The following is a 12,414-nucleotide window of genomic DNA, read 5'->3' as shown; positions in this document are numbered from 1 at the left end:
TATATTGTGCAGGCACATTGAAAAACTATTTAGCAGTTCCTCAAACAATTAAATATAGGGATTACCAAATGATCCAGCAATTCTTCTTCTAAGTAGTTATTCAAGAGAAATAAAAACATATGTCCACACAAACACTTGTACATGAATGTTTATAGTAGCCTTATGTATAAGTGTCCATCAATCAATGAATGGATAAATAAGATATGGTATATCCAAACAATAGAATATTAATCAGTAATACAAAGAAATAAAGTACCGATAGATGCTACAATGTGGATAAACCTTGAAAGTATTGTGGTAAGTGAAAGAGGCCAGTAATAAAGGACAACATATTATATGATTCCATTATTATAAAATGTCCAAAATTGGCAAATTTACAAAGACGGAAATAGATCAGTGGTTGCCTGGGTGAGAGGGAGGGAATTGGTGGGTGGAAGTTTGGTGAATGGGGAATGACTGCTAATGAGTATGGCATTTCTGGCATTGAATGATGAAAATGTTCTAAAATCTTGCTAACAAGTTGCACAACTATGAATATATTAGAAGTTATTTAATTATATATTTTAAATAGGTGAATAGTATGGTATGTCATTTATGTCCCAAAGAGCTATTATTTTTAATTCCTATTATTAGGTGACTTTATTTCTATGATAATGATATTCATTAAAGTCACAAAAATTGACCAGATGACTGAACTGTCAGCTAGAAATCCATGTTGTCACCACACTGTATCTGTGGCAACCACATTTGCCTCATGTATTGGTTCACTAATGCTATTGCTGATAGCTCAGTATAGGGATTCATTTCATGTGGAGATTAAGTTCTCTGTACACTCTTAGTGTGGGAATTTTCAGATTAGATGACGGAGCGCACTGACTCACACCTGTAATCCCAGCACTTTGGGAGACTGAGGCAGGAGGATCGCTTGAGTCCAGGAAGTCGAGGCTGCAGTGCGCTGTGATTGTGCCACTGCATTTCAGCCTGTGTGACAGAGGGAGACCCTTCTCAAAACAAACAAACAAAAAACCAGATTGGACATTTGCTGCTCCAAATTTGTCCTTGCGTTGGAGTATCACCTTTAAATAGCACAATGAAATTTTGCACTAGGCAATTATATTCTTCACAATGCCAAATGTATTGCAAAACATTGATGAACTGATATTAGCCCACATGCTAGGAAGGAAAGTGAATCTGCGTGCATACAGTCCCTCCCATGGGAAAGATAACTATTTTTAAAGTCAGTTGGTAAAGCATGTAGTGTTGCACCCCATTTAAGCAAGTGATGGACTGGCTTTGTTTTGATGGATATAGACTTGGAGGAAGTTAGCCTCACAGGCTAGGAGGCTCCGCTCCCTCTCCTGTGCTTCCTGTTCCTTGGAAGGAATGAACTCCAGGGAAAGAAAGCTGGGGCCAGCCAGAAAGGAGTGGGGGTCAAGGTGCCTCTCAAAAAACCAAAACACTGTGAGGGAGCAATGGGCCAAGGGACCTTGAACAATTTATTTAGATCTTGCTGCAAGAGAAGACTGAGATCTTTTCTCTCACGTTCCTCGTCTGTAGAGAGCCTTGAACAGTGTCTGAGATTTATTGAATGTTGAAAGGACATGAAAATGTTTGAATTCCTTTTTGATTTTCACAGCTATTCTCTTCTAAGGCAATAAATTCTTATTCATGTCTTTTTTCTAATGGACACAGAGTAGAGTTTGCTCTTATAAGATGATACTTCCATGGTGGTTTTCTTAAAAGCAATGAAAAATAAGTAGACTTGAAGTTTTAAAAATGTTAATATGTAGTTCAGCCCTACCAGCAGAAAAAAATTAAATCTTTATATTGGTTAGTATGAAAAGTCTTGTAGAGGGTGTTTTCAAAACAGTTTTCAGGAAAATATTTGGAGACAAGGTTTTTCACTCAATTTTTCTTCCTTGCATGTTTCACAGAAGCTCCCACTGGTTTGGGCCGTTTGACAGTCATTCCTTTAAGACGTAAAAGGGCTTGTGGCAAATTTGGGAGGATAGACTGCCTTTTCCATTACTTAATTTTTAAAAATACTATTAGGAGTGGGAAGGGTATCAAATGTCCACTTGGAGTCAGGGGAAAAAGTAGCCCCATGAAAAAATTCCCTGTGAGAGCAGCATAACCTGCAGAGACCTGCGAGCAAGTGTCCAATCCCGACAGCCAGTCATGGAAATAGAGCACTCCGGGCCGCACAGAGACCATTCTGTGTGCCACTCACATGGAATCTAGTGCAGCATAAAGCTTTACTAAGCTCCACCCAGAAGTGTGGTTGCCTTTGTCATTTTAATTGGTCTGTGTTTGTGAAGTGGGGCCTCTATTTACTTATAGCTTGGGGCTTGTGTTTACCAAGCCTGGTGGAGGCCAAGTGACAGGGCCCCTGCAAGCTCTCCCGCTGTATCTTGAGGCACTTTTCTTTTCAGTATCTGTGCCTGTCTAATTCGTGAGCTTCTGTGAAGCAAGCACAGGAGGGTACAAGGCCTACAGGGAGGAATTACACCTAATTACTCAAATAATTGCTAGGCTGTTGCCTTCTTAGTCACTGAAAATAATTTCCAGGTCCCTGGCTTTTATAGATAGTCTTCTAGAGGCAGGAGGACACAGCCCCCTTTTTAACTCAGCCCATTCACTCACAAAATCAGAACACTCGAGCCTGCAAAATTAATAAGCACCACTTCCATTACATATATTTTAGGTTGTTGTTGCCGTGGCGATAAAGTCAGGGACATTGAATCTCCTCTGTTGAGCCATTGTTATCATCCCTGGCCATCTGCTGCAGAGGAGTGATATTCCATCTCATTTGCATGATGACTGATATATGGGAGGTTTGGAAGGACATATGCCACAGCAATCATGTGATGAAAATTAAAGTGAAAGTTTTGGGCCCAGAGCCGAAAAAAATCTGTGTATGCGCATGAGGCTGTTGATGTGCAAATGTGAATCATATTGAGAAGGTCTGAATAGGGAGGTGTGACGTAAGGAGGGGACACAAACGCAGGTGCTTATCTCTAAGCAGTCAAAGGCACTGGATGTCATATCATGGGAACTACCTTTCAAAGAAACAGCTTTAGTGTTTCCGTTCAGCCCACCAGGGAGGAGAGAAATATAAGTTTTGGAAACAAACAAAAAAGTAAGTTTAAAACTTTTGAACCGCATGCTGCTCACACTGACATTTAAGCCACTCGGAATTTTAGCAAGTTTTTAGGTCTTAAGTCATAACATTCACTTTTGTTTTTTTTGGAGGGGGGGTGGATGTTAGCAAAGGTTGAAGTTTAGAACTGTGTTGATGGTTTTTCTGATGTTTGTTTTGAACTTCTGTTTCTGATGTCTGTTGTGATGTATATTTGAGCATTATTTTAAATGTATTTCTCTCTGTCTCTCTCTCTCTCTCTCTCTCTCTCAATCTCTCACACTTTCACTCTCTTTGGCAAAAACAAAAAAGCGTATTGTATCTGTTTTGAGAAGAATTTCAGAATAAAATGTCATGGTGCAATTACATTTATACTGCACCAGTATCGCCTTTGTTCATATAGATTTTTGAAACGTGCAAATTTGCAAGAGAGACTATTTGATATGAAATGAGACTTAGTACACTTTTTGCTTAGCAAAAAAGTAAAGCAGAAATAATTTATGAGATTGCAAAAATTACCAGTGAGATCCCAAATCTGACATCTCTCTAGAATTGGGGAGATCTTTGTGAGGGATGAGAGGTTAACACAATTGTATATGAATAACCAATATTAAAAAGATGTTTTATGTATGCTTTTTGAAAAGTCAAAATTCTGATAGTAGCTATACATAAGGAAAAGAGTTTGTGGGAGGTCCCCAGGAAATTTAAATTGATAAGTATGGTAGTTATAATTTTGTCTTTAAATATTTAGAGAATTGGATAAGAGTAGCCTATAAAAACGATACTGTTCATTTTTGATAAATGTAGATGTCAGAAGACTCATCAGAAAGTTAAAGAATAAATAATACCAGAAGGGCTGAAGAATGAAAGAGAAAATACTAACCTTGGACAAAATTTTGCAGAAGGATGATTTCAATGAAATATTACTTAGTTATACAGAAAAATTTCAAAACCTTTGATAAACAATACTTTGCCTCATATTCCTTTTGTTTTAATAAAGCTTTTATTATAGGTGCTTACTTTGATACATGTGGAAATAACTGGAGTGTTTTTCAGTTTCAAAGAACAAGGCAGTCAGCAGTCGAAGTATGCACTGTAACTTCTATAATCTTAATTTTCCAAATAAGAAAGTAGCTAATTGTCAGAAAAAAAAGTTCTATCAACTCTCATGCCACAGCTAATACTGCAAAATCCAATACACTAAAAAGAAAAAAAAAAACTGATGAAGAAATGTTGAATATAATTCTGTGCACTATCGTTATGTTAGGGAAATAGTAAATAAGTTCCAGGCAATAATCAAATTCAGAATCCAAAGTAAGACTAAAATTAGGCTTCCCTAACTTTGCTTTTTTATTTTTCTTTGCAAATATCATCTGCTTGGTATCCTACTTGTATGCCTGTAACCCAAGATTACCAGTGTTCTCTTTTCTCCTTCTTCTAAATATTCAATTACTCAGTGGTGATTATTATGTGGCCTTCTTGGCTTACTACAATATTAGATTAATATAGATTTCTCTTGCCAAATTAGCGGAAATCACTGTTGCACATAAAAGCGATTCACTCTTTTTTAGTTGTATTTATGTTATGGTAGGAGCATCATTTTAAGCTTAAAAGCTTTTATATTTTAAATTTGGATATACTGTACCTTGGAGAGCGTAAGGTGGTTGTATTTAAAACGTTTCAAAGTACATTGAAACTTTTATGAGATCCTAATGTGATTATGTTTAAAGGAGTTTTTTTTTTTAGAGTGGCCATTAGTGTTCTACTATAACATGAACCAGTAAGATTTGAAGTTTCCTGGTTTCTCTTAAATTAGACAACTGCAAGTGACCTAGAAAAGACCAGAAATGTTAGGAGCTGTCCATGGTAGCTGCCTCCTTAAAAAGTTAACATACATACTCTGAATAGTTGTCTTTATTTCCATTTTTAAAAGTCAGAATTAAATTCTCATTAGATAAATTAACCTGGTAGATACAGAAATTATTTGCAGATAATTAACAATCTTACTTGCAGTAAGTAACAACCTTACTCCTATAACCAAATTGCAAAACCCAGTATAACTTTAAGCTTTCACAATGTTAATGAATGTTTCCAGTTGCAGCTTTAAACTATGTATGCATAAATAAACAAAATTTATAGCTATTAAATATATAACTCTTTAGGTTGACAACAGTTCATTGCAAATAGTTTCTATGGTAGTAGAGCAATGTGAACAAACATATCAAAAAAATATAACTTGCGTGACTTTATTGCTCTTGAAATTAATTCTTGTCCTTATGTGACCTGCCATGTCTGCTATAGAAATCCAAAAGATCATAATTGTTTGATATGAAATGCAAAAAGAATAGTTAAATTGAAAGTTTAACATCATGAAATTCAAAATCCCAAGCGGTATATAAACATTAAAAGAAACTTTGGACGGCTAATCCTAGGAAATGAGTTTTATGGATTGAATTCAACAAGGCTTCAGAAATGGTTCCATCTGCTGCCTAGCAGCTGGTGAAAGGATAAATTTAATTCATTAATTCATTTGGAAAAAAGGATCCAAGTAGTAAAGACTTCATTGCTCATAATGCATATAGGTGAAAACACAAACTGAAATCTGGACCAATTGATCATTCTAGATAATGAGCTGCATTGTCTTTCCTTTTACTGGTAAAGATCTTAGTGATTGAGTCAATGCGGTGTTGATTTTTATGACAATAACCAATCATTCCCAATCACTTCAATGATTTAAAAAACTCAGGGAAATTTAAAGTAAATCTCAGTTTTTAATCTGAGAAACTCCAGGCATTAGAAATTATGCACTTCTCATTTTGTGTATGTGTATATGGGAGGCAGTGTGTATACCTATGCTTATAATATATTCATATATATACATCTATACATACACATATATATTATATACAAATTCTGAATCACTTCAAAGAAATGTTTATATTAAGCAAGGCTTTTCCCATTTGTTGAAATATTGAGGTAAGTATTTAGCACTTAACATTAATGTAAGTAAAGTTTTCAAGATTCATATTTCCCCAAAGGTTTCAAGGTTCAAAAAACACTTATTTTATTTTCTCCTCTTTCCACACTTCAAACTAGTTGCTCCAATCTCCGTTTTTGATCACACCCTGCAGAGTGCTTCAAAATATTAAAAAGTTGTCCAGGAAGTAGTCTTCTCCCAACTTCTCTGCCACGTTAATCATTTTGACATAAGGAGGTAAAATCCACAAGACATGAAGAAAAGATTTCATTGGCTGGATTGTACAGGACTTTTTAGTATCTTTACATAAAAATAATGGGGGTTTAATACCAAGAGTCTTGAACTGTTTAAACTCAATCAATGTGATAAGGTGTTGGAAAAGTTGGTGTTTCTTCCTCCTCTTTAGCTTATAATCATATTGGAGGATTTTTTTTTAACTGCTGGCATTTTAATGAGAGCCAGGCCTCCCTTAGAAATGTATAGCTCACCTTTCCCAGCAAAGTAAATATCTCTTGGTGGCCAGTTAATTGATCTATGATAAAGATAAGAATATCCCTGAAAGTAAGGCTGCTTCAGTAGCCAGTGTACATTTTAGCAATTTTTTTTTTTTTGGATGGTGATTTCATGAATGGTGTTTTGACTTTTCTTTCTCTGCGGCCCACAGCTCACTGTGGTGGGTTTGTTGGATTTACTATAAAGGTTCTGTTTGCACCCTGTGGGTTGGGTTAAGAATCAGGGTTTATGCATTTACTTGTACTGTGGCATTGTTTATACAGCTTTGGTTTAGTTTTGATCTTTTTTTTTTTTTTTTTTTTTTTTTTTTTTTTGCCTTTGAGGCTCTTCCACAGTGTCAGCTGCTGACTGATAGTAGGAAAACGGCCTCGTGGTGTGAATGAAAGGGACCTAGCGGTTGGTAAACAGAGATAAGGAATAAATAGAGCACAGGCAAAAGGAGATAGTTCTGTGGGGGCCCAGATTGCTGCCAGTCTGTTCAAGGGAGATGCAGAGCCTGTCCTTTTCCCAGATTAAATTAGTGTGCGAAATCTCCAGTGACCTCCTCCCCTTCTCCCCACACTCTTTAGCCAAGCTGAACAGCCTCTGCTGTAAAGTATTCATTTTATCCAGGGACAAGCTGGACAATAGAACTCTCTCTGATACTTATGGACAGCTGTCGTCATTCATAGTGCTCTCAGCATTTCATTTTTCATAGGAGTTAAAAGGGTTTTTACCTTGTAACTGAAAGAGGGCATAAATGCAACTTTGCCAGGTCTGAGGCTGCTTGGGTAGGGGGTAGGGCTGGGGTCGGGGGGAGGAAGGAGGAAGGAGAAACTGCTCAAGAAAGCAATTCTTTTTTGTTGTGCTAATATGATTAAACTAAGACAGAAATTAAATTTCAAATCTGGGCTCCTTGCTAAGAGAAAATATCTTTGATCTGAAAGTTTCCTAAAATTAAGGTCACCAGTGCAAACCAGACAATTCATCTCCACCTGCTCTATCGTTGTTTGGGCTAAATATGCATGTATTTTATTACCTGCAAATAACCACCAGGAAATATTAAGCCCGTAAGATACCTCAGTATTCTAATTTTTTTTATTTTTTTAGTGATTTACTGCAAATATATTCAGCATTTGTCTGATTAAATAGACCTTCGGCAACCTTGAGGGTCACTGTGTGGAGTATGTACATAGAAAATGCATCAGCCCATTGTACCCTGGCAGCTAATGAGATTGGTCGTTAAGTAAATGACACAAAGCCTACAAAAAAAGCTTAGCAGCTCACTAGAGTATCACAGAGTGTCCCTGCACACCACACAACGACACAAACACTGGACTAACCTAGCCCACCCCTGCTTTATTCTACATCACTGCTTCCCTGATGTCAGCGTGAGAGGCAGAACAAAGGCTAGGAGGCACCGGTAAGTCAGTCTGGCAATTAAGCCCTAGGGAGAAAGTAGAACAGATCTTAGCCTAACCGTGGGGCTGAAAGTCCGTTTCTCCACAAGTAGGTCAGAATGAAGGGATTTTGCTATCACCTCTGGAAATACCGCTTCAGTGATCAGTGTTCTTATTTTGTTGTTATTGTTGTTTTGTTTTGCTGTTTCAAAAAAGTTTGTAAATTTAAAAAGTGAGTAAACCCCAAAATGCGAGTGAACTTGAATTTGAGAGGTAGGCTATTTGTTGGAGAAATGGTGCTTTTGCCAATAACTACCATTCAGGTTATTGGTTCAGGTTTGAAAACTTTCAAATGTATGAGGCAACTTTAAATTTAGTTAGTCTTACTGCTTCTGAAAGATAATGGAAACCTGGGGCATGCATGTGAGCAGTGAAGTTCATTCTTGACAATGTAAAATTGCCCCAGCCCCTAATATATATTTAATAACATAGATGGAATAACTATTTCCTTCAGCAGTGTCTTAAAAACCAACCAATCAAGCACAACAAAACAAGAAAACAAAAGCTCCTCTTTTCCTCTTGTATTTAATTTCTCTTGAATCTGGAAATAGAATCATTACTGTGAATCTGTAATATTGAATAGGATTAGTGGTTATTTGCTTGCTGTACTTGGGAAAAAATCAAAGCTTCTGACACTGGAGCAGCATTGGCTTGCTGTGTCCCTTGGAAAAATGCGTTTGCAGGATTGAAGTGTAACATTGCAGGATCCTTTGAGAGAAATATGGCAACAGGAAGTTGCCAGAAAGTCTTATTTGCCTTGCTGAAATGTCTGTCTGCCTTAGATTTGTGTATTCAGAGGATGTTTAGTTCAAGAGAGGATGATATTGTTACAAGACATTCAGGTAAATTAAATATTTTATTCTCAGAACTGTCCGCTAAGTGGGTTGTCAGTGGTTTAATAAACTCTGAAGGTCTCATCGAAAACATTTAAAAAGTATTGTTAATGTAAGTGTGGTGTTTTAAAATAGATGTGTTCATAATATCAGTATCAGTATTCAATTTTAAAGCCACTGTCATTTAATGTTAGAATGGCATGACATAATCATCAGTTCATGAATTAAAACTCTGTGTAGAAATCAGTTTGCTAACTTTCATTACTTATACTGAAAAATATTTATTTATGTAAGGATATAGCAATATTGTGATACTGAATAAATAGCTTAGTAGTAGTATTCGTGAAAGATTCATAATATAGGTAAATAATATGGTCTGGATGATCAGAGGTCACATACTTCTTTACCATTTTTTTTCATGAAGTACTTTTCCTCTGTTAAATGTGCCCCTAACATTTATTTTGTTTATATAATTTGTTTAGAACTATATGTGTGTCTGTAGAGAATGTAATGTATGTTGTATATTACCAACTCTAAGTATTGTTTTAACAATAGCCAGAAATTAGGAGGCAATAAATTTTGTGAAGAAAGTGGTATAATAGTGTCTTTTTAATTTCAAGTAAAATGTATGTGGGGAAAATAGAGTTTGATTTTACTAAGTTGAGATTTTTCTAATATGTCATCTCATCATTATGCCTTTCATGTGATAGAAATCGTGGAAAAAGCAAGCCATCTAAAAATGGCTACAGTTGCTGCCTAACAAATTTAGTTTAAGGCAGTTGTGCAACTAGTTCACTCTTTCAGGCATTATAAATGTATTAGGCTATCTTTCTGTGATGAATGTTTTATTTTTGAATCTCATGTATTACAATTTATTTTTCTATAGCTGCTAATGTTCCTCCTGTTAATACAAGAATGAATGTTTCAGAAAACATAACTGTTTTGGCTGGCTGTAAATATTTTGCCCCCATCCTTACGGGTACAGCAAAGGGTGTGCAAACTTGACTGAAGTTCGTTTAGTTGCATCGCTGTGGATGAAAAGGAGTGGAGTTACTTTTACAGAAATGTAATTGTCATTCTTCAAAACAGAATAGGTCTGTATTGTCATTAAGATGAGAAGGCCCAGATCATTACTTTTGGTTTATGCAAACTTGTTTCCACCTATATGGGTCTTGCATCTGAAATATATATTTTTTTATTTAAAGAAAATATGCATGGCTTTATCTACTTGACAGCTTTCTTCTTTAAAGAAATTTGAGAAACTTAATTTGTGTTGTCAGAAGGAAACTTTGTATTACTGGACTTTTATTCTGATTCACTCATTTAACAAATAAATATTAAAATACTTAGTTCAGAGGACTGTAGTAGATGCTGTTAGTAATACCTCTTTTCCACCCCTAAGGATCCCCATCTAAGAGGAGCTATAAAATGCTTCCTAGAGAATAAGGCAGTCATCCTAAGTGCATATGAGTGACAAAGTGACAAGAGAATCTACAGTACTCCCTTTTTGAGTTCACATATCTGAAACCTGGTTCTTCCACTGACTCAGTCTGTGCCCTGGATAAGTTCTCTAACTTTTCTGCGCCTCGGTTTCCTGGTCTGTTAGATGGGGGCAAGAGTGATGGGAGATAAATGTTGCCTTATAACTTATGTGAAAAATTAAGTAAGATCATATACCTAATGCCCCTGGCATATTGTGTTTGGTGTTTTTAACTTTCACTTGCAGTTTGAGACAGCGAGGGGATGTGCCAATGTCATGTCACACACCGCCTGTGCATTCGCTTGTACCAGTACAGAACTCTTTCTCGTATTTTCGCTTCCAGAGCCCCCAATTTTGTGAGTGTCCCTGAAGCATTGTGACAATTCCATTTTATGTGTCTGCGTGCTCATATCAAGACTAAGGTAACATGTTAAAAATTCTAAACATACCTTAAGTATATGTGATTAAATTGGCTTATTATGCAGAGTTTTATTAGTAGCTATCAAAAGCATACCTAAAAATTTTATTACACTTCAACTTAAACTCTCTGTAAGCAGAAGTATTTAATTTCATTTAATTTAGAAAGGCAACATCTATAAATTAAGTATTTACAGCATAGGTCTTTAACTCTTAAGATTATGCAGTTTTCTTCTTTCTGTTTTTTAAAAATTTTTTTGCCCTTTTGGGATTTATTTCATAAGTTTTTTGGCTTAGATTGTTTCTTTTAATTGATACATTGAATTTGGTTTAAGTTTTCCCTTTTTAAGGACATTATAATTGAAAAATATTTAATTTATTTATTTTTATCACCTATGTAAAGAATCTTGAACCCAGTTAATTGCTGAATATTTTATCTTAAGAGATAAAATTCCATTCCAGTGAACTCAAGAGATATCTGAATTTCTTTACGAGTATTTGAATATAGTGTTGTCAAATGTTACATCAAATTTATAAATTTTTAGGCAAAAATGTATTACTCTTTTAGTTTAACTTTTCAGAACATTTGTTCTGTTAGGGTTTGATCTATACATTTAAGTTGTAACTTGAAAGAATTTTGTTGCTGAGAATTTCCGATCTCATATATCTTGTGGCCATAGGTAAATTGCAATGACCTGCAAAAATGTCAATGCCTTTAAAGTTTTATTAGTAACTTATTTACACTATTAAGTGGAGTTAACTACAACACTATAAGAGCATTTTAGATCAGACTATTTTAATTTCTTTGATTTATACAGTGCAACTAACTTTGAAGGTGCTAGAGATATCTGCACTAAATATAGGTTCTCCAAATATTCTTAAATATTATATTTGTTGGTCTGCTGGGTGAAATGTATATTAATTGATACTATTCTAATAAAGAGTTACACTTGGTAATTCTATGAAAATATTTACATTACTATTTTATAAAAAAATTAGAATGAAAATTTTTGTGGTACATTTTCTCTACTCCTTCCAAGATTTAAAGGTAAACAAAGCTAGCTTAACTTAATTCCCTAAATTTTGAGGTTCCTTCATGAAGAAAACATGGCAGAAGGCCAGTGTGTAAACCTCACCACATCCTTTTTTTCAGATGTGTCATATATATATCCAATTTCAATATGAGTGAATTCATGTTTGGCATGAGATAAAACTTAGTTACCCTTACTTATAATGACAGGCAGAAGCAAACTGAAAGGAAATGGTTAATTTTTTAAATAGAATAAACAGTATTTTCATTCCTGGAATGTAGATTAAAGAGAATATGAAAACAAAAAAAAATTTATTGAAAATCTAATTTGTAAAAGAATACCATAATATAGAAAGATGTGTCCACTGTTTGCTCTTTTGTTTCTATAGTATACTTGGTATGAATTAGAATGAAGGTATTTACCTCTTTTACATTTTCTTTCAAATATCAAACAATGGTGGAGAATTAGTCTTAACATTGCTATTCTGAAGGGTGAAAATGAGGTGAGATTGAAATATGTTCATTCATGAAGTAAATGAAATCAGGAAAAGATTGAGGCTGACAATATGACTACTCTAGAAAGGGG

The 12,414-nt window shown here is 35.1% G+C and overlaps 1 protein-coding gene across 63 annotated transcripts in view, besides 2 other annotated features; it reads left to right on the top strand.

Moving 5' to 3' along the window:
- ST18 (ST18 C2H2C-type zinc finger transcription factor) overlaps positions 1-12,414 on the top strand; it is a 299,042-nt gene that overhangs the window by 152,491 nt on the left and 134,137 nt on the right. For 14 of the 63 annotated variants that reach the window (NM_001352839.2, XM_047422485.1, NM_001352844.2 and 11 more), the window contains exons 1-2: positions 3,041-3,139; positions 10,725-10,803. The exons of 14 other annotated variants lie outside the window; for them this stretch is intronic. The gene's annotated coding sequence lies outside the window, so the exon portion shown is untranslated. Of the gene's footprint in view, positions 1-3,040; positions 3,140-7,901; positions 8,032-8,744; positions 8,911-10,724; positions 10,804-12,414 lie in introns of those variants that run through there. 35 more of the 63 variants (NR_148195.2, NM_001352834.2, NM_001352858.2 and 32 more) reach the window with 6 other exon arrangements.
- Positions 2,113-3,219: an enhancer, noted in NCBI's record as "VISTA enhancer hs698". NCBI's record gives its function as "enhancer in: neural tube[7/9] | hindbrain (rhombencephalon)[7/9] | midbrain (mesencephalon)[7/9] | dorsal root ganglion[7/9] | forebrain[7/9] | trigeminal V (ganglion, cranial)[6/9]" and the evidence as "EXISTENCE:transgenic organism evidence [ECO:0001131][PMID:17130149]".
- Positions 2,559-3,164: an enhancer, noted in NCBI's record as "NANOG-H3K4me1 hESC enhancer chr8:53166785-53167390 (GRCh37/hg19 assembly coordinates)". NCBI's record gives its function as "activates a minimal SCP1, AML or CMV promoter by ChIP-STARR-seq in naive H9 embryonic stem cells {active_cell/tissue: H9 hESC(naive)}" and the evidence as "EXISTENCE:reporter gene assay evidence [ECO:0000049][PMID:30033119]".

Source organism: Homo sapiens, chromosome 8, assembly GCF_000001405.40.
Source record: "Homo sapiens chromosome 8, GRCh38.p14 Primary Assembly".
NCBI lineage: Eukaryota > Metazoa > Chordata > Mammalia > Primates > Hominidae > Homo > Homo sapiens.
Note: the sequence above shows the minus strand (reverse complement) of the source record. Positions and strands in the feature narration are given on the sequence as shown.